At 43.5% G+C, this 21,090-nt stretch overlaps 1 long non-coding RNA gene and 1 pseudogene across 1 annotated transcript in view, besides 1 other annotated feature; both read left to right on the top strand.

The window, feature by feature from the left end:
* Window positions 3,849-4,054: a silencer, noted in NCBI's record as "fragment chr6:151550445-151550650 (GRCh37/hg19 assembly coordinates)". NCBI's record gives its function as "represses an EF-1alpha promoter that drives an FKBP-Casp9 reporter gene in an ReSE screen in HepG2 liver carcinoma cells and K562 erythroleukemia cells {active_cell/tissue: HepG2 | K562}" and the evidence as "EXISTENCE:reporter gene assay evidence [ECO:0000049][PMID:32094911]".
* The window catches only part of LOC102723831 (uncharacterized), a 31,785-nt gene continuing 15,601 nt past the window's right edge, over window positions 4,907-21,090 (top strand). The window contains exon 1 of the long non-coding RNA NR_125868.1: window positions 4,907-4,982. This is a non-coding gene — a long non-coding RNA (uncharacterized LOC102723831). The remainder of the gene's footprint in view (window positions 4,983-21,090) is intronic.
* RPS12P11 (ribosomal protein S12 pseudogene 11) lies at window positions 7,335-7,836 on the top strand (annotated as a pseudogene).

The raw sequence follows: 21,090 nt of genomic DNA, 5'->3' as shown, positions 1-21,090 counted from the left end.
TGAAATACTAGTCAACAATAAAAAGAAACAAACTATTAATATATGCAACAACCTGCATGAATCTCCAGAGAATTCTGCTGAAAGAAACCTGTCAATCCCCAAAGGTTACATACAAATGATCCCATTTATATGACAGACTTGAAATGGCAAAATTACAGAAATGAAGAAGTCAGTGGTAGCTAAGGGTTAAAGAAGGGTAGAGGGTGGAGAGAACTGGGTGTTGCTGTAAGAATGCAACAAGAGGGATTTTTATGGGATGGGAATGTTCTGTTCCTTGACTGTATCAATGTCAATATCTTGGTTGTGATATTGCACTCTATTTTTGCAAGATGTTACTATTGGGGAAAACTGGGTGAAGGGTATACGGGATCTCTCTGTATTATTTCTCACAACTGCATGGTAATCCACAATTAACTCAAAATGAAAATTTTAATTTCTGAAAAAGAATGATAAAATATGTATTTTCAGACGGGCTAAAATAAAGGTCCAAGGTACCTGTTTATGTTCAACTTACAACCTCCTTCACTTTCCAGTATATTTGAAATACCCTTTTAATATTAAAATAAGCCAAGATAGAGATCAACACCTTATTAACAGGTTGGTATTTTGTTTTGCTTGTAAGCTTGTTAACTCTGAAACAATCAGACTTGATAAAATACAGAAACAATAGATTTCCTGACTCTGCAGTGCTTTGTACAAAGCTCCTTTCACTCCTTGGCTTCATCTTGCCAGTGAAGAAGTAGTGGACACAACTATAATCTTCCTGGCTGATATCATTTCCAAATGCTCCTGCAAGAGTCTCTCACCTCTCTGTTTCTCTCCTCACCAATGTGTAGCATGGCTCTAGTTTGTAAAATGCATGTTGGAATCTAATGGATCATGAAGATGTGTTCAGAGTCAGATAAAGAAAAAAAGGGCCAGGTGCGGTGGCTCACGCCTGTAATCCCAGCACTTTGGGAGGCTGAGGCGGGTGGATCACCAGAGGTCAGGAGTTCGAGAACAGCCTGACCAACATAGTGAAACCCCATTTCTACTAAAAATACAAAAATTAGCCGAGTGTGGTGGCGCACACCTGTAGTCCCAGCTACTTGGGAGACTGGGGCAGGAGAATCACTTGAAGCCAGGAGGTAGAGGTTGCAGTGAGCTGAGATCGCACCGTGCCACTGCACTCCAGCCTGGGCAACAAGAGCGAGACTCTATCTCAAAAAAAACCCACGCACACACACACAAAAAAAAAAAGAAAGAAAAGAAAATTAAAAAAGGGATGACTTTGGGGTTTTAAATGTTCATTTTCTAGACTAAATTTAATTTGAACAAAATTGAGCATGGTTCATACTTTCTGAATTTAGAAAATCCATATCATTCTTATGGCCTATATTTAATAACAACTATTATATATTCACTTGCCTGTAAACATTTGCAACACTCAAGGTAATGCAGCAAGATGCTCTCCAAGATTAACACATAAGTAAACTTTTTTTCTTTTTAGAGTTGGGGTCTCACTATGTTGCCCAGGCTGGTCTAGAACTCCTGGGCTCAAGCAATCCTCCTGCCTCAGCCTCCTAATATAACTATTCTCTAATTATATTTTTTAAAAGCTTCAATAATGATTAAAGCTGTCAGCACATAGTGTTCACCAACATTAGAAGCTATTTTTTTTCTTTTTCTTTTTTAGAGGCAAGGTCTCACTGGGTCTCACCCAGGCTGGAGTGCAGTAGTGGGATCACATCTCATTGCAGCCTTGACTTCCTAGGCTCAAGTGATTCTCCCACCTCAGCCTCCTGAGTAGATGAGACTGCAGGTGTGCACCATCACACCCAGCTAATTTTTTTCATTTTTGTAGAGACAGGGTCTCCCTATGTTGCCCAGGCTCGTCTCAAACTCCTGGCCTCAAGCAATCCTCCCACCTCAGCCTCTCAAAGCACAGGGATCAGAGGCATAAGCCACCATACCAGGCCAGAAGCTGAATTTTTTTTGTTTTTTTTTTTGTTGTTTTTTTTTTTTTTGAGATGGTGCCTGGCTCTGTCGCCCAGGCTGGAGTGCAGTGGTATGATCTTGGCTCACTGCAACCTCTGCCTCCCAGGTTCAGGCAATTCTCCTGCCTCAGCCACCTGAGCAGCTGGGATTACAGGCGCATGCCACCAAGCCCCAGCTAATTTTTGTATTTTTAGTAGCGACGGGGTTTTACCATGTTGGCCTGGCTGGTCTCAAACTGCTGACCTCTATGAGATCCTTTGAGATCTATGAGATGGGCTTGGTTTGAAAAAACTAGCAATTAAGTTGAAGAATAATTTCCCCCCAATTCTAACACTGTTTTTCTCAGTATAAGTTGCAAGAGCAACTTCCTTTATTTCTTTATTTTAGAGACAGAGTCTTGCTCTGTCACCCAGGCCAGAGTGCAGTGGCATGGTTATGGCTCCCTGCAGCCTCAACATCCTGGAATCAATTGATCCTCCTGCCTCAGCCTCCCCAGTAGCTGGGACTAAAGCATGTGACACTATACCATGCCCAGCTAATTTTTTTTTTTTTTTTTGAGACAGAGCCTTGCTGTTGCCCAGGCTGGAGTGCAGTGGCACAATCTCAGCTCACTGCAAGCTCCGCCTCCCGGGTTCACGCCATTCTCCTGCCTCAGCCTCCCGAGTAGCTGGGACTACAGGCGCCCACCACCACGCCTGGCTAATTTTTTGTATTTTTAGTAGAGACGGGGTTTCACCGTGTTAGCCAGGATGGTCTCAATCTCCTGACCTCGTGATCTGCATGCCCAGCTAATTTTTTGTAGTCACGGAGTTTCGCCATGTTGCCCAAGCTGGTCTCGAACTCGTGGGCTCAAGGGATCTGCCCACCTTGGCCTCTCAAAGTGCTGGGATTATAGGCCTGAGCCACTGAGCTCAGCCTAGAGCAACTTTCTTTAAATATATTGTCATCCAAAACCTTAAAACCATGTAGATAATTAAGTGGGAGTCTCTTCCCTCCCACCCAAGCCATAGTGGGATTCCGGAAATTGTTTGGAGCAGGTAAAAATGTTTGGGCTTGGCTCTCATTTGAGTTCTTTCTTAAAGCTGCAAATGTTTCAGTCACTGCCCATATACTACTTATTTGTCATATATTCATCATAGGAGCTGCTGATCTGATTTGAAGTCCCTTATCTGCCCCACCCTTTCCAGACACCCACTCCTGCTCCCTTCTCATGCATTCTCCTCAATTCCTCTGTAGCCCCGGGAATCTCAGGATAATGGAGGCAGTTCGCTGCGAGGAAACTTGCCCCAGGGCTTCCTTGGTCTTCCTGGAGCCTCTAGCAGCCTAAGTTATGTGTCCTGGAACCCCTAGACCCTTGGAGAAACTGGCACAATTATTCATCCCTTTGTGGGGTGGGGGTGAGGGGGGCCTGCCTGGGAACAGGCCCCAAGAACAATGAAGTTACTCTCTTGATAAACTGGACGTATTTTAAACCAGTGCATTGTCTTTTTTGTTTTGTTTGTTTGTTTCGGTGGGGCAAGGGGTTGGCCACAAAATAGGAAAACTAATCAATGTGATTTAAACCAGATAGGGTGGCGCACGCCTCTAGTAGTCCTAGCTACTCGAGGGCTGAAGCAGGAAGATTGCTTGAGCCCTGGAGTTCAAGACCAGCCTGAGCAGCATTGTTACCCAGAGGGGTCCTGATCCAGACCCCAAGAGAGGATTCTTGGACCTTGCACAAGAAAGAATTTGGGGCGAGTCCATATCAGACAGTGAAAGCAAGTTTATTAGGAAAGTAAAGGAATAAAAGAATAGCTAGTCCACAGACAGAGCAGCAGCATGGGCTCCTCGTTGGCTATGTCATTTCTTGATTATCTGCTTAACAAGGAGTGGATTATTCATGCGTTTTTCTGGGAAAGGTGTGGGCAGTTCCAGGAACTGAGGGTTCTTCCCCTTTTAGACCATATAGGGTAACTTCCTGACATTGCCATGGCATTTGAAAGCTGTCATGGTGCTGGTGGGAGTGTCTATTATCATGCTAATGCATTATGATTAACATATAATGAGCAGTGAGGATGACCAGAGGTCACTTTCATCGCCATCTTGGTTTTGGTGGGTTTTGACCAGGTTCTTTACCACAACCTGTTTTATTAGCAAGGTCTTTGTGACTTGCACCTTGTGCCAACCTCCTGTCTGATCCTGTGACTTAGAATGCCTAACCTCCTGGGAATGCAGCCCAGTAGAGCTCAGCCTTATTTTACCCAGCTCCTATTCAAATTGGAGTTGCTCTGGTTCAAACACCTCTGACAGGATGGTGAAACCCCATCTCTACAAAAAAAAAAAAAAAAAAAAAAATTAGCCGGAAGTAGTTGTCCACACCTGTAGTTCCAGCTGCTGGGGAGGCTGATGTGGGAGGATCCCTTGAGCCTGAGAGGTTGAGGCTGCAGTGAGCCATGATAGCACCACTGCACTCCAGCCTGGTAAACAGAAGGAGACTCTGTCTAAAAAAAACACAGCAAAAACAAACAAACAAAAACAATAACAACAACTACGAAAAACCAACATTAAACAATGTAATCTATCTCACTGGTCATTGTGGAATCAAAAGCTTCCACCAATTCAAAGTGCGAGTTTTGTCTGTGAATCAATAGCTGATGAACAAGAGATGAGATCAATTAACATGACAGACTTAGCCACTTGGGGAACTTATTTTCTAGAGGACAAATTGATGGAAACAACAGGAATTACAACCCATTAATCTGTCCTTAGGACCTAGAAAATGAGGAAAACTATTTATCTTGAAAATAATCATTGGGTATGATCATTAAAGCCCCCTTAATTCAGATTCTCTCTTCTGGTTGCACTCTAAGCCTATCATGATTTCCCAAGAATGCAAGAATCCTGAGACTGAGATTCTCTAGAATTTTCCATGAGCAACAATTCTAAGTAATGACAAAGGTGCTGCACACAGGGCCATGCCCAACCAGCAGGCTCTCAGAGGACTCTTGAGGTGGAAATGAAAACAGGTAACTTCCATTTATATGTGTTTCATCTCATTCTATTTTAATTACTAATTTGAGTACAGTCTGCACCAGGTAAGATGGTGCACAATGAAGGGCCACATATATGATGGTGGTCCCATAAGATGATAATGGAGCTGAGAAATTCCTATTGCCTGGAGATGTAAGAGCCATTGTCACACATTACGCATGTGTCTGTGGTGATGCTGGTGTCAACACACCGGTCATATAAAAGTCTAGTACAGGCCGGGCGCAGTAGCTCACACCTATAATCCTAGCACTGTGGGAGGCTGAGGAGATCAGGAGTTCGAGACCAGCCTGGGCAACATGGCAAAACCCCGTCTCTACCAAAAATATATATATACTTTTTTTTTGAGGCAGAGTCTCACTCTGCAATGGCGCGATCTTGGCTCACTGCAACTTCTGCTTCCTGGGTTCAAGTGATTCTCGTGCCTCAGCCTCCGGAGTAGCTGGGATTACAGGCGACTGCCACCACACCTGGCCACTTTTCGTATTTTTAGTAGAGACAGGGTATCACCATTTTGGCCAGGCTGGTCTTGAACTCCTGACGTCAGGTGATCCACTCACCTTGGCTGGGATTACAGGCGTGAGCCACAGTACCTGGCCCCAGTATATTCATATACATTTATTTAGAGCATGTTCTTCCTATTAATCCACAACTTTGAGCATTAGTGCTATGAAGTAAAATGCTACGTATCATATTTTACCAGGGTTGGACTGTGTGCCCAACCCTGGTATCACTTTTGAGGTTAAAGACTTGGGCTACCACCTTGGATCCTCCCTCTCATCTCTCAGTCTGAGGAAAGCAGGCTGCCATCTTGTAAGCCACCCAGTGGAGAGGCCTGTGTGGTAAGGGGCTGAAGCCTCCTGCCCTAGCGAGTTGAGAACCAATACCTATGAACAACTACGACAGTGAATTTGGAAGTAAAGTCCAGTGTCAAATGATCCTTGAGATGACAGCCCCTGGCCGACAGCTTAAATGCAATCTCATGAGAGTCCCTGAGTCAGGACCAACCAGCTAAGCCATTTCTGGGTTCCTGATCCTCAGAAAATGTGAAATAATAAATATTTGGGGGTTTTGGTGTTTAAAAAAATGCTATGTGTTTGTGTTTAAAGGATGAATAAATTACATGTAAATTTGCAAGTCTAAGGATTTTCAGATGTTTTATAAAGAGGACTGTGGTAGATTCTTCTTGACTTTAGCAAATACAAATTCTCAGTGGTTACTGTTCCTATCTGAGCTGAGGCCTCAGTGTTTCTCATGTCCGAGTTTGGCTGAAGCCCTATTCTGTGAGGCTGCTGCACTGCTTGGTTTCCGAATAGGATCAGCATCAAGCTCTCAGAGGCAGGTGTGTGAGTGGGAAATGAGTTCATTTAACGGCAGGCAGAGTCACAGAACAACTTCACAACGAAGACGGTGCTACAAGGAGAACCTGTACTGTGACCACAGAGGCAGAATCAGCTATGATCATCTCATCTGCAAATAAAAAAACCAAGAGGTGCTCAACCAAAAACAACTGAAATTGAACTGTAGGTACAATGGCCTTTTTTTCATGCTTGGGGCTGAGAGGATCCAGAATTTTAGACAATGACACTAAAACACTACCTACATTCAGACCTAATAGTTCTGAATGAAAATTTCAAGTTATTTTTTGGAGTGGCAAATTAGATGTACATTTAAATGTCCAACTTCAATATAGGACAGTCTTTGGCTGGGCACGGTGGTTCATGCCTGTAATCTCAGCACTGTGGGAGGCTGAGATGGGTGGATTACGTGAGGTCAGGAGTTCGAGACCAGCCTGGCCAACATGGTGAAACTCCATCTCTACTAAAAATACAAAAATTAGCCAAGCATGGTGGCGGGCCCCTGTAATCCCAGCTACTTGGGAGGCTGAGGCAGGAGAATCACTTGAACCTGGGAGGCGGAGTTGGAGTGAATCGAGACCACACCATTGCATTCCAATCTGGGCGACAAGAGCAAAACTCTGTCTCAAAATTAAAAAAAAAAAAAAAAAAAAAAGAATAGTCCTCGGATCTGAAAGATGTTTCCCTAGAGGCCCAAGAGGCTTTTGCATCAGAAACAGAGAGAGGTAAATAGCCCATTGTGGAAAGAACGACTTTGCAAGGGAGGCCGAAGAGAAGTTTCCAGTTAATTCCACTTAGATGGAATGTCGAAGCAGTAACTAAAGTCAGTGCAGTAACTAAAGTCAATGCAGTAACTAAAGTCAATATTGTAAAAGTCAATATTTGTAAAAGACACAATAGGTTGGCTTGGCAATGGTAAGAGGAGGTCTCTCAGATCTAGGCAGAAATTTTTAACGCGCTAAGAATTTGAGGCTCTTTCCCTGCCTCTGCCGAGTCGTGCGGAGGCGGAGGCTTGGGTGCCTTCAAGATTCAGCTTCACCCGTAATCCACCGCCATGGCCAAGGAAGGCATTGCTGCTGGAGGTGTAATGGACGTTAATACTGCTTTACAAGAGGTGCTGAAGACCGCCCTCATCCACGATGGCCTAGCACGTGGAATTCACGAAGCTGCCGAAGCCTTAGACAAGTGCCAAGCCCATCTTTGTGTGCTTGTACCCAACTGTGATGAGCCCATGTATGTCAAGTCGTGGAGGCCCTTTGCCATGAACACCAAATCAACCTAATTAAGGTTGATGACAACAAGAAACTAGGGGAAAGGATAGGCCTCTGTAAAATTAACAGAGAAGGGAAACCCTGTAAAGTGGTTGGTTGCAGTTGTGTAGTAGTTAAGGACTATGGCAAGGAGTCTCAGGCCAAGGATGTCATCCAAGAGTACTTCAAATGCAAGAAATGAAGAAATAAATCTTTGGCTCACACACACATACACAAAAAGAATTTGAGGGGCCACACATTTTTAGAACTTTTGAGGCCCCATCATTTCACTGAAGTAAATGCTTTGGCCAGGCACAATGGCTCACACCTGTAATCCCAGCACTTTGGGAGGCCAAGGCGGGTGGACCACCTGAGGTCAGGAGTTCAAGATCAGCCTGGTCAACATGGTGAAACCCTGTTCTCTACTAAAAATACAAAAATTAGCCAGACGTGGTGGTGCACACCTGTAGTCTCAGCTACTCTGGAGGCTGAGGCAGGATAATTGCTTGAACCCAGGAGGCAGAGGCTGCAGTGAGCAGAGACCGTGCCACTGCACTCTAGCCTGGGTGACAGGAAGACTCTGTCTAGGAAAGAAAGAAAGGAAGGAAGGAAGGAAGGAAGGAAGGTAGGAAGGAAGGAAGGAAGAAAGGAAGAAAGAAAGAAAAGAAAGAAAGAAAGAAAGAAAGAAAGAAAGAAAGAAAGAAAGAAAGAAAGAAAGAAAGAAAGAAAAGAGAAAGGAGGGAGGGAGGGAGAGAGGAAGGAAGGAAAGAAGGAAGGAAGGAAGAAAGGAAATGCTTTAAAACACTTCCACTTTTAAATGCAAGAGTTTAATCATATTCAGCTCCAATTTAGTGAAGACACAATGCCTGTAGAATATGACCTCTGCTGACACTTTGATCTTTAATAATAGGTGGTCTCCTTTTTTTCCCTCATATCGTAATTAAATAGTAGATCTCTCATATGAAACCATTGTTTAGTTTGTAATGTTGGGCCTTGTATTTTTGTCCACCATTTCATTTTTGTGCCCTCTATAGTAGATAGCTGTGATGAAGAGGTCATTGGTCATGTTGTCCTCTGTGCACTGCATGCCCATCACGCAGATTTCTCATCCACTCCGGGAGGTTTGTGCCTCTGTCTGTGTGTCCAGGTAGCATCTCTGCAGGTAGGAACTGTTAACACACTGGAAAAGAGTCACTTTGGGTTTTCCAACTTTTTAGCCCCAAACAGAGCATTTCCTGTCTTTCTGCTCCACTGGGATCTCATTAATTCTCAAACTCAACCATACAGGTAACTCTTGTATCTTTATTGGAGCATCCTGGTGGATGGAGGTAACAGAAGCTGCTATTTGAATACTAGGCTAATGCCAGTACATGGGTTCCATGGATAGTTTCACCCACCCCCATCTTTAATCACTTCCTCTATTGACTTTATCTTTTATAGAAATGTTGAAATCTATTTTAGGTTTAAAAATAAACAGACAGAGGCATCCAAATTGGAAAGGAAGTGTTCATAGATCATCTGGGCTTACATGCAGCAAGCCCTAATGATTACACACATACAAACACACATACACAGTTAGAATGAATGTGTTTAGTAAAGTTGTAGGATATAAAGTCATACAAAAATTAGTTGCATTTTTATATGCTAACAATGAACAATCTGAATAGGAAATTAACAGCAAAATTATTATGAAAAAGAATGAAATATTTCAGAATTTACTTAACCAATGAGGCAAAAAACTTGTGCATTGAAAACATGGCTGAAATAAATGAAAGAAGACACAAATAAATGAAAAGACTTCTCATGTTCATGGATTGAAAGACATGATATTGTTAAAATATCAATACTACACAAATAGGCTGGGCGTGGTGGCTCACACCTATAATCTCAGCACTTTGGGAGGCTGAGGTAGATGGATCACCTGAGGTCAGGAGTTTGAGACCAGCCTGGCCAACATGGTGAAACCCTGTCTCTACTAAAAATACAAAAATTAGCTGGGTGTGGTGGCAGGTGCCTGTAATCCCAGCTACTCGGGAGGCTGAGGCAGGAGATCACTTGAACCCAGGAGGAGGAGGTTGCAGTGAGCCGAGATTGTGCTATTGCACTCCAGCCTGGGCAACAAGAGTAAGACTCCATCTTAAAAAAACAAACAAACAAAAAACCACACACACAAATAGATCAACAGATTCAATGCAACCCCTATCAAAATCCCAATGGCAGAAAAGTCTATTCCCAAATTTATATAAACTCTCAAGGGACCCTGAATAGCTAAAATAATCTTGAAAAAGAACAAAGTTGGAGGTGTTACACTTCTTGATTTCAAAACTTATTATAAAACTACAGTAATCAAAAGAATATGGTATGCATACAGACAGGCATATAAACCAGTGGAATATAATAGAGAACTCAGAAATAGACCCATGCATGTACGGCCAAATGATTTGTTTAAATTCTTATTATTTTTTTGAAATGGGGTCTTGCTGGCCTTGAATTCCTGGCCTCAAGCAATTCTCCTACCCCCACCTCCTGAGTAGTGAGGACTACATATGTCTGCCACTTCACCCAGCTAAATGGCTTTTGACAAAGATGCCAAGACCGTTCAAGGAAGAAAGAACAGCCTTTCAAAAAATGGTGTTGGAAAAACTGTATTTCCATATGCAAACAAATGAAATTGAGTCCTTCTTTATACCATACATGAAAAGCAACTTAAAATGGATCAAAGAACTAAATATAAAACTTAGAACTATTAAACTCCTAGATGAAAACAGGGGAAAAGCTGACGTTGGATTTGGCAAGTGTTTCCCAGATATGATACAAAAAGCATAGGTAACAATGGTAAAAATGCGTAAATCAGACAGCATCAAAACTATAAACTGGCTGGGCATGGTGGCTCACACCTGTAACCTCAGCACTTTGGGAGGCAGAGGCCAGTGGATCACCTGAGGTCAGGAGTTCGAGACCAGCCTAGGCAAAATGGTGAAACCCCATGTCTACTAAAAGTGCAAAAATTAGCCGGGTGTGGTGGCACGTGCCTGTAGTCCCAGCTACACAGGAGGCTGAAGCAGGAGAATTGCTTGAACCCAGGAGGTAGAGGTTGCAGTGAGCCAAGACTGCACCACTGCACTCCATCCTGGGCAACAGGACGAGACTTTGTCTCAAAAAAACAACAAAAAAAAACTACAAATTTCTTTGCATTAAAGAACACAATCAAAAGACTGAAAAGGTAACTGACGGAGTGGCAGAAAATATGTACAAATCATATACCTGAAAAGGAGTTACTATCCAGAATACAGAAAGAACTCCTGCAACTCAACAACAAAAAAGTCAAATGACCCGATGTAAAAGGGCAAAGGACTTGAATAGACATTTCTTCAATAAATAGAAATGATATTCAAATGACTCACCTCACAACCACTAGGATGGCTCCTTTTTTTTTTTTTTTTTTTTTTTTTTGAGACGGAGCCTCACTCTGTCTGTCACCCAGGCTGGAGTGCAGTGGCGCGATCTTGGCTCACTGCAAGCTCCACCTCCTGGGTTCATGCCATTCTCCTGCCTCAGCCTCCCGAGTAGCTGGGACTACAGGCACCCGCCACCACGCCCGGCTAATTTTTTGTATTTTGTTTAGTAGAGATGGGGTTTCACCGTGTTAGCCAGGATGGTCTCGATCTCCTGACCTCGTGATCCGCCCGTCTTGGCCTCCCAAAGTGCTGGGATTACAGGTGTGAGCCACCACGCCCAGCCTGGCTACTTTCAAAACAACAGAAAATAAAAAATGTTGGTGAGGATGTGGAGAAATTTGAACTCTAGTGCACTGTTGGTGGGATTGCGCAAAAGTAATTGTGGGTTTGGCCCATGAATTTTAAATCATTATAACTAGGCCCAGACACATCTTTATTAATCAAAATAGGAACCACTACAATCAACACATTTTTGCCAACAAGAAATAAGTTTGTTTATTCCTGTAGCATAAAAATCTGTACTTTGGGATTCAACGAACTCTTGGAAAGCATTTTCTGAACCCCGCTGGTTGTGGAAGCATTTTCCTTGCAAAAAGTTGTCAAGACGCCTGGTAGTCAATTGGTGAGAGGTCAGGTGAATATGACGGATGAGGCAAAACTTCGTAGCCCAATTCTTTCAACTTTTGAAGCATTGGTTGTGCGACATGCAATCCTATGTTATTGTGAAGAAGAACTGAGCCCTTTCTGTTGACCAATGCCAGCTGCAGGTATTGCAGTTTTTGGTGCATCTCACTGATTTGCTAAGCATACTTCTCAGATGTAATGGTTTCGTCAGGATTCAGAAAGCTGTGGCGGATCAGACCAGCAGCAGACCACCAAACAGTGACCATGACCTTTTTTTGGTGAAAATTTGGCTTTGGGAACTGCTTTGGAGTTTCTTCTCAGTCCAATCACTGGTTGTTGTATAAAATCCACTTTTCGTCTCATGTCACAATCCGATTGAGAAATGGTTCGTTGTTGTTGTGTAGAATAAGAGAAGATGACACTTCAAAATGACGATTTTTTAAAATTTTTGCTCAGCTCATGAGGCACCCACTTATGGAGCTTTTTTCACCTTTCCCATTTGCTTCAAATGCCAAACGACCATAGAATGGTCGACAGTGAGTTCCTTGGCAACTTCTCGGGTAGTTGTAAGAAGATCACCTTTGATGATTGCTCTCAGTTGGTCGTCGTCAGCTTCTGATGGCTGTCCGCTACCCTCCTCATCTTCAAGATTCTCGTCTCCTTTACAAAACTTCTTGAACCATCACTACACTGTATGTTCATTTGCAGTTCCTGGGCCAAATGCATTGTTGATGGTGCAAGTTGCCTGTGCTGCTTTATGACCTATTTTGAACTCGAATTTGCTTTTTGTCTAACATCTTTTTTTTTTTTTAAGATGGAATCTTACTCTGTTGCCCAGGCTGGAGTGCAGTGGCCCAATCTCAGCTCACTGCAACCTCCGCCTCCGGGGTTCAAGCAATTCTGCTGCCGCAGCCTCCAGAGTAGCTGGGACCACAGGCGCCTGCCATCACGCCTGGCCAATTTTGTGTGTGTGTGTGTGTATTTTCAGTAGAGACGGGGTTTCACTGCGTTAGCCAGGATGGTTTTGATCTCCTGACTTTGTGATCTGCCCGCCTCAGCCTCCCAAAGTGCTGGGATTACAGCGTGAGCCACCACACCCAGCCTTATTTATTTATTTTTAATTAAAAAAAAAGAAGTTCTGGAAGTTGGTTGCACAACCATGTGAATGTACTTGACACAACTGACCTATACGCTTAGAAATGGTTTAAGATGATAAATTTTGTGTTATACATTTTGTTACCACACACATACATTAAAAAAAAAAATTAACCGCAAGACTTTGCTCAGTGACCAAAGAGATTGCTTTTCTTTTACAATCCAGATTCTTGAAAGAACAGTCTATATAGCACTAGGTTTTCACCTCTGCCTCATTCCCCAATGCTCTGCCATATGGTGTCTGTGCCTGCCACTCCAGAAGGCTGCTGTCTGTCCCGGCTGCCACATACGGAGAACACGTCTCTGCCTCTATCTTTGTTCATACCCCGCAGCATTTGACGCTGTTGACCACTTCCCTTGGGAAATCTCTTCTTCCCAGTTTTGTCTATCTCTAGGCCACTGCCCTTTGGACTGTTTTGCAGACTTATTTTTGATTTTTTGTTAATATGGCTCTTCCTCAAGGCCCCATCCTAGGCCTTCTCCTTTCTCTCATTCTCTATCTCCATTTATTTATTTATTTATTTATTTATTTATTTATTTATTTAGAGACAGAGTCTTGCTCTGTCACCCAGGTTGGAGTGCAGTGGTGCAATCTCGGCTCACTGCAGTCTCTGACTCCTGGGCTCAAGCGATTCTCCTGCTACAGCCTCCCGAGTAACTGGGATTACAGGTGTGTACCACCACACCCAGTTAATTTTTTGTATTTTTGTAGAGACAGGGTTTCACCATGTTGTCCAGGCTGGTCTCGAACTCCTGACCTCAAATGATCTGCCCACCTCGGCCTCCCAAATTGTTGGGATTACAGGCGTGAGCCACCGCGCCTGCCCATCTATCTCCTTCTTAAGTGAACTCAGCCCCTTTTACAACTTTAGCAGTGTTTGGGAGGAAAAAAATTTATTTTGCCCTTTATTTATTTATCTTACCTTTATTGAGGTCTGTGAGTTAAACAGACAAAAGACAGATCTGCAAGAGAAAAGACAGATTTTTATTCACATATGTATGGGAATGCCCAGAAAAATGTGACTCAAGGAGGCTATTAGAATTGCGGGCTTGTGTATTCCCTTAATAGAAGGAGGGAGGAGGTTTAGGGATACTTGTAGAAAAATCTATGACTCTTAGGAAAGATAAACTGCCCTTAGAAGACTAGATGTAAGATGTGATCATTTTGCAACAACGTCTGTCTGGGTGTGGTGCTGACATCCCTTCTCTGCTCCAGGACAGGGAATTTATGACCTCTTTTGGGAAGCTTTGCTTTTAGGCAGGTAAAGGAGTTTGGAAAAAAATCTATTCTCAAATGCCTTCAGTTCGAAATAACCTTTATTTGCCAAAGTGGCAAAATCTGGAATCTTCCAGTAGCCACTTACTTGCTGAGAATGCCCGAAAGTGTACCTTAGCCCAGTCTCTTTTCTGTGATCCAGAACACACTATCCAGTTGCCTCAGCGCACATCAACAAGAACATCAAAGTGCATTCACCTCCTTTTCCTATAAACCTATTTTTTCTCTTGTATTTCATATCATGCTAGTTCATCAAGCCAGAAAACTTCAAGTCATGCCAAACTCCACATCTCCCTCATCCAGTAATGAAACCTGATTCATTCTGTCTCCTGAGAGCTTTTGGTACTTGTTTCTCTCCCACCATTGTCACCGCGGCAGACTGTTATCATTAGGCCCTTACAATCTCCCCCTTATTATATTGTCCTAATTTACATTACAGCACAGATGTCCAGTGTGACATATGTATGTTTGTGCAGGTTAACTTTAATCTACATTCTAGGAGCTGTTAGTTAACATTTCCAAGACCCTGATCCTGATATTTTTCAACCTTTACAAAGAATACAATTCTGATACAGGTTACAACCTAGATGAAGCTTGAAAGCATGCTAAGTGAAATAAGCCAGACACAAGAGGACAAATATTGTATGATTCTACTTATATGAGGTATTTAGAATAGTCAAATTCATAGAGACAGGAAGTAGACTGGTGTTTCCCAGGGTTTGGGAGGAGGGGATAATGGGGCATTTGTGTTTTATAGGTACAGAGATTTAGTTTGGAAAGATGAAAAAGTTCTGAAGATGGATGGTAGTGATGATGATTACACAATAATATTCATGTACTTAATACGGCTGAATTGCACACTTAAAAGGATTAAAATGATAAATTTTATTAGCATATTTACCACAATAAAAAAAAGAGTGAAGGCTAGGTGCGGCGGCTCACACCTGTAATCCCAGCACTTTGGGAGGTTGAGGTGGACGGGTCACTTGAGTTCAGGAGTTTAAAATCAGCCTGGGCAACATGGCAAAACCTTGTTTCTACTAAAAATGCAAAAATTAGCCGGGTGTGGTGGAGTGCACCTGTAGTCCCAGCTACTCAGGAGATGAGGCTCGAGAATCACTTGAACCCGTGAGGCAGAGGCTGCAGTGAGCTGAGATCGCGCCATTGCACTCCAGCCTGGGTGACAGAGAGAGACTGTCTCAAAAACAACAACAACAACAACAAGCCCAGGCCCTAATCAAAACTCCACCCACAGAAGGTACTTCAGATACCTCATTTAATCTGTACTAGAGGGGCTGGGCACAGTGGCTTGCACCTGTAATTCCAGCACTTTGGGAGGCTGAGGCGGGTGGATCACCTGAGGTCAGGAGTTCGAGACCAGTCTGACCAATATGGTGAAACCTTGTCTCTACTAAAAATACAAAAATTAGCTGGGCGTGGTGGCGTGCGCCTGTAGTCCCAGCTACTTGGGAGGCTGAGACAGGAGAATTGCTTGAACCCAGGAGGTGGAGGTTGCAGTGAGTTAAGATCGTGCCACTACAGTCCAGCCTGGGGGACAGAACAAGACTCTATCTCAAAAAAAAAATCTGTACTAGAGGATTCACTGATCAGCAGAAGGGTGTTAAAGAACATTTTCTTTTACATATATATATATATGTAAATATTTTTTGTATAGGGACCACTGCAATGGGGCCTTGCAGTGGGGTAGAGAGGTTGGGTTCAGCTGCCAAAGATCATTTTCTTTTTATTTGATTGACTGAAGAAATAGGGCCTCACTTTGTTGCCAGGCTAGCCTTCAACTCCTGGCTTCAAGTGATCCTCCCCTGCCTCAGCCTCTCAAATTGCTAGGATTACAGGCATGAACTGCCACCGCTGACCCCATTTTTTAAGAGATGGGGTCTCGTTCTGTCACCCAGGCTGGAGTGCAAAGATCATTTTCAATTGGCAAACGAAGTGATAAAGACAGTGCCTGCTAGAAAGCTACATAAGCACTTACCCTCTTGTACAAATGTGTGCACAGATGAACGCAGTAGCCCAACACCTTCAGAGTGATTCCTTAGTATAGAAATTCTAGAAATCCGGTAGCGTGTCCCCTCCATTCCCATCCCCACTCAGTCACATTTAATGAAGGATTTTTGTTAGAGAAGGCTTGCTGACAACCTGTCCTCAGAGCGTTGTCATATTTGTCATGGGTTGGGTCTTTTGTGTGAGCTATCTCTGCTCCAACAGGCTAGAGAGCTAGGATTTCACCGGTCTTGCTCACACAACAGCATGTATGACTGTTTCTGTGCCTGCTTGCTCCTGACGTTTGTATCTGCTTAAAACCCTGGGGACCTCTTGGCTGCCTCTAATCCTGAGAGGCTGCTGAATTTCTCCTGTCATCCCCCTACAATGCAAATCAGGTCATGTCAATTTCTCACTCCGAATTCTTCAGTAGACCCCTCCGCTCCCTCCCATTACATTCAGAGTAAAATCCCAACTCCTGCCCTCCAGGATCTGCACCTACCTTCCTCTCCCTTCTTCACTCCAGTGTGGAAGCCCTTGAATCTGTCCACACCTCTCTCACCTCCATACCTCTGCGCATGCCATTTGTTCTGCCTACAAAGCTCTTCCTCTCCCTACACTCTTTGGTTTCAGGGAACACAGCTGAATTCAGGGATGCCAAGTCCTTGCCTAGAAGGATATCATCTGTGCCTGGAATTTTCCTTTTTTTTTCAGCACACTTTCAGCAGCAATGAAAGAATCCAGTCTGCATAGAAAGAAGAGTGAAGTAGACACAGTAGAGAGAAACAGATGACTTCTCAGAAGAGGGAAGAGAGAAACCCAGGGGGCAGCTGCCTTTGTTCATAAACCGGTCCAGTTCCTGGGTTCCTTTCCTTCTGGGAGGCATCTGAGCCTCCCGTCCTTGGGTTCTGGGAGCTGGTTGGGAAGCTCTTTTGTAGCCAGTTGAGTCTTGACCAGGATACAGGTCTGCAGACTTATCCCTTTCCTGGTGGTGAGGCCAGCCACAAGCCACCCTGGAAGACCTGCTGGGGGTGGGCTACAGGGGGAGCTGTGGCTGCTCCCCACTCTCCCAGGGCTGGCCACCTGGGGCAGCCTGAGCTCTCTGCTTTTGGAAGAACTGGTTTAGCAATCTGGTATCTTAAAGTCAAATTAGGTAATTTGACTTTCAAGTCCACTCAATTGATCATCAAGAAATAATGTAAAAGGCCAGGCAGTGGCTCATGCCTGTAATTCCAGCACTGTGAGAGGCCGAAGCAGGTGGATCACCTGAGGCCAGGAGTTCAAGACCAGGAGGGAAAACATGGTGAAACTCCATCTCTGCTAAAAATAAAAAGATTAGCCAGATGTGGTGGTGCACACCTGTAATCCCAGCTACTCGGGAGGCTGAGGCAGGAGAATCACTTGAACACGGGAGGCAGAGGTTGCAGTGAGCTGAGATCGTGCCACTGCACTCCAGCCTGGGCGACAGAGCAAGATCCTGTCTCAAAAAAAAAAGAAAGAACGTTAAAAGAGCGTTAAAAGAAATTACTAACAATTTCGTCAGGAGGAACATATCTAACCTCAAAAGACAAGAAGGAAGGGTACCCAATGTAACAGCAGAAACCATAAGAAATGTTTGCCAGGGACAGGTTACACTGAAACTCAAAGCTAATATTAATATGGCATTTCCTTGGGTAAGTTACAGAAAAGTGTTTTGTCCTAGATTCTTCACCTGCATATGCTCCAACCTGAGGCTCTCCTTAGGAGCTTAGGTAAAATGGGAAGTGTGAGTAAGCTATACTCACACTTTTTAAGTTTTTAAGTTAATAACAGCAAGAAAGACCCAAATAGGATTTTCTTTTTTTTTTTTGAAACAGGGTCTCTCTCTGTTGCCCAGGCTGGAGTGCACTGGCACCATCCCAGCTCACTGCAACCTTGGCCTCCTGGGCTCAAGTGATCCTCTCACCTCAGCCTCCTGAGTAGCTGGGACCACAGGTGTGTGCCACCACACCTGGCTAATTTTTAAATTATTTGTAGAGATGAGATTTCACTATGTTGCCCAGTCTGGCCTCAAACTCCTGGGCTCAAATGATCCTCCTGCCTCGGCCTCCAAAGTGCTGGGATTACAGGCATGAGCCACATTGCTCGGCCCCAAAATGGGATCTTGAAGTCAATAATTATATTCTTTTTTTCTTTTATAGTATTTTACATACTTATGGGGTACATGTGAGTATTTGTTACACACATAGAATGTGTAATGATCAAGTCAGGGTATTTGTGGTATCCATCACCCCATGATGATTATTTATTTTTTCTTTTTTTGGGAAGTAGATACTGTAGAGTATTTATTATTTCTATGTGTTGGTAATACTTTAAGTCCTCTCTTCTAGGTACTTTGAAATATACAATAAATTGTTGCTAACTATAGTTACCATCATCTGCTATTGACCATTATAACTTACTTCTTTTATCTAACTGTATGTTTGTACCCATTAACCAGCCTCTCTTCATCTACCCTTTTCCACCTGCATACCCTTCCCAGCGTCTGGTATCTATCGTTCTACTCTCTTCTTCCACGAGATCAAGTTTTTTAGCTCCAACATATGAGTGAGAACATGCAATTTGTGTCTTTCTATGCCTGGCTTATATTACTTAGCATAATGACATCCAGTTCCATCCATGTTACTGCAAATGATATGATTTATGTATGTATATATATATATATATATATATATATATATTTTTTTTTTTTTTTTTTTTTTTTTTGAGACAAAGCCTCGCTCTGTTGCCCAGGCTGGAGTGTAGTGGCACGATCGCCACTCACTGCAACCTCCACCTCCCAGGTTCAAGCAGTTCCCCTGCCTCAGCCTCCTGAGTAGCTGGGCGAGTAGCTGGGATTACAGGCGCGCACCACCATGCCTGGCTAATTTTTTTGTATTTTTAGTAGAGACAGGGTTTCGCCGTGTTGCGCAGGCTAGTCTCGAACTCCTGACCTCAAAAGATCTGCCCTCCTCAGCCTCCCAAAGTGCTGGGATTATAGGAGTGAGCCACTGACCCCAGCCACAAATGATATGATTTTATTCTTCTTCATAAACCAATAGTATTTCATTGTGTATATGTACCACATTTCCTTTATTTGTTCATCCACTGATGGATACTTAGGTTGATTCCATCTCTTGGCTATTGTGAATAGTGCTGCAATAAACATGCAAGTACAGGTATCCCTTTGATATACCGATTTATTTTCCTTTGGGTAAAATATTCAGTAATGGGATTGCTGGATTGAATAGTGGTTTTGTTTTTGTTTTTGGAGAAATCTGTATACTGTTTTCCATAATGGTTGTACAACTTTACATTCCCACCAACTGTGTACAGTTTCTTTTTCTCAGCATCCTCACCAGCATCTGTTATTTTTGGTCTTTTTAATAATGTGATTACCTGACAGATTCTTCCTGTCTGCTGCACAGACAAAACCAATTGCTGAGACTGTGGTGTTACAGTAAAGTAAGAGTTTAATTAACACAAGGCCAGTCACGTGAAAGAACTAGTTACCACTCACATTGATCTCCCTGAGAACTCAGAGGCTAGAGTTTTAATGAATAATTTGGTGGGCAAAGACCTAGGGAATGGGTGCTGCTGATTGGTTAAGGATGAAGTCCGAGGGGTGTGGAAAATTGTCCTGTACTGAGTCTGCTTCTGGGTGGGGCCACAGGACTGGTTGAGTCATGAGTCACAGGTCCAGGTTGGGTCAGTCGGTTGCCAGAACACCAAAGTCCGAAAAACATCTTAAAAGACCAATCTTAGGTTCTACGATAATTATGTTACCTATAGAAGCAATTGGGGAAGTTCATAAATTTTGTGACCTCTGGCCACATGGCTTCTCACAGTAAGCAATTGTAGAAACTATGTCTACATTTTAGCGGAATTCAGGCCCCTCCTTTAATCCTAATCACCTTTTTTTTTTTTTGAAACGGAGTCTCGCTCTGTCGCCCAGGCTGGAGTGCAGTGGCACAATCTCGGCTCACTGCAAGCTCCGCCTCCCGGGTTCACGCCATTCTCCTGCCTCAGCCTCCCGAGTAGCTGGGACTACAGGTGCCCGCCACCTCATCCGGCTAATTTTTTTTTTGTATTTTTAGTAGAGGCGGGGTTTCACTGTGTTAGCCAGGATGGTCTTGATCTCCTGACCTCATGATCCGCCCACCTCTGCCTCCCAAAGTGCTGGGATTACAGGCGTGAGCCACCGCGCCCGGTCAATCCTAATCACCTTTCACAAAGGTGAGTTTTGGCCCCTGAGCAAAGAGGGTGTCAGTTTTAAGGAGGGACTATTATCATCTTTGCTTCCAAGTTAAATGTAAACTAAATTCCTCCTATGGTTAGCTTGGCCTGTGACCAGGAATCAGCAAAGACAGCCAGCTTGCGAGGCTAGAAGGAAGGTCGAGTCAGCCATGCTAGATTCTCTCACTGTCAGAATCTTTGCAAAAGCGGTCTCATTAATAGCCATTCTAACTGGGGTAATGTGATTATCTCATTGTGGCTTTGATTTACATTTCTCTGATGATTAGTGATAATGAGCGCCTGTAATCCTAGCTACTCGGGAGGCTGAGGCAGAGAATCGCTTGAACCCAGGAGTTGGAGGTTGCAGTGAGCTGAGATTGTGCCATTGCACTCCAGCCTGGGCAACAAGAGCAAGACTCCATCTCAAAAAAAAAAAAAAAAAAAAAAGGTCCCGTTAAAAAGTGGGCAAATGGCCAGGCATGAGGGCTTATGCCTGTAATCCTAGCACTTTGGGAGGCTGAGGTGAGTGGATTGCTTGAGTCTAGAAGTTTCTTCATGTACCTATTGGCCATTTGTATGTCCTCTTTTGAGAAATATGTTGTCATTCGCCCACTTTTTTTTTTTTTAAACAAGGTCTTACTCTGTTGTCCAGGCTGGAGTGCAGTGGTACTATCAGGGCTCACTACAGTCTTGATCTCCTGAGCTCA

The sequence above is a fragment of the Homo sapiens genome, chromosome 6 (assembly GCF_000001405.40).
Source record: "Homo sapiens chromosome 6, GRCh38.p14 Primary Assembly".
NCBI lineage: Eukaryota > Metazoa > Chordata > Mammalia > Primates > Hominidae > Homo > Homo sapiens.
Note: the sequence above shows the minus strand (reverse complement) of the source record. Positions and strands in the feature narration are given on the sequence as shown.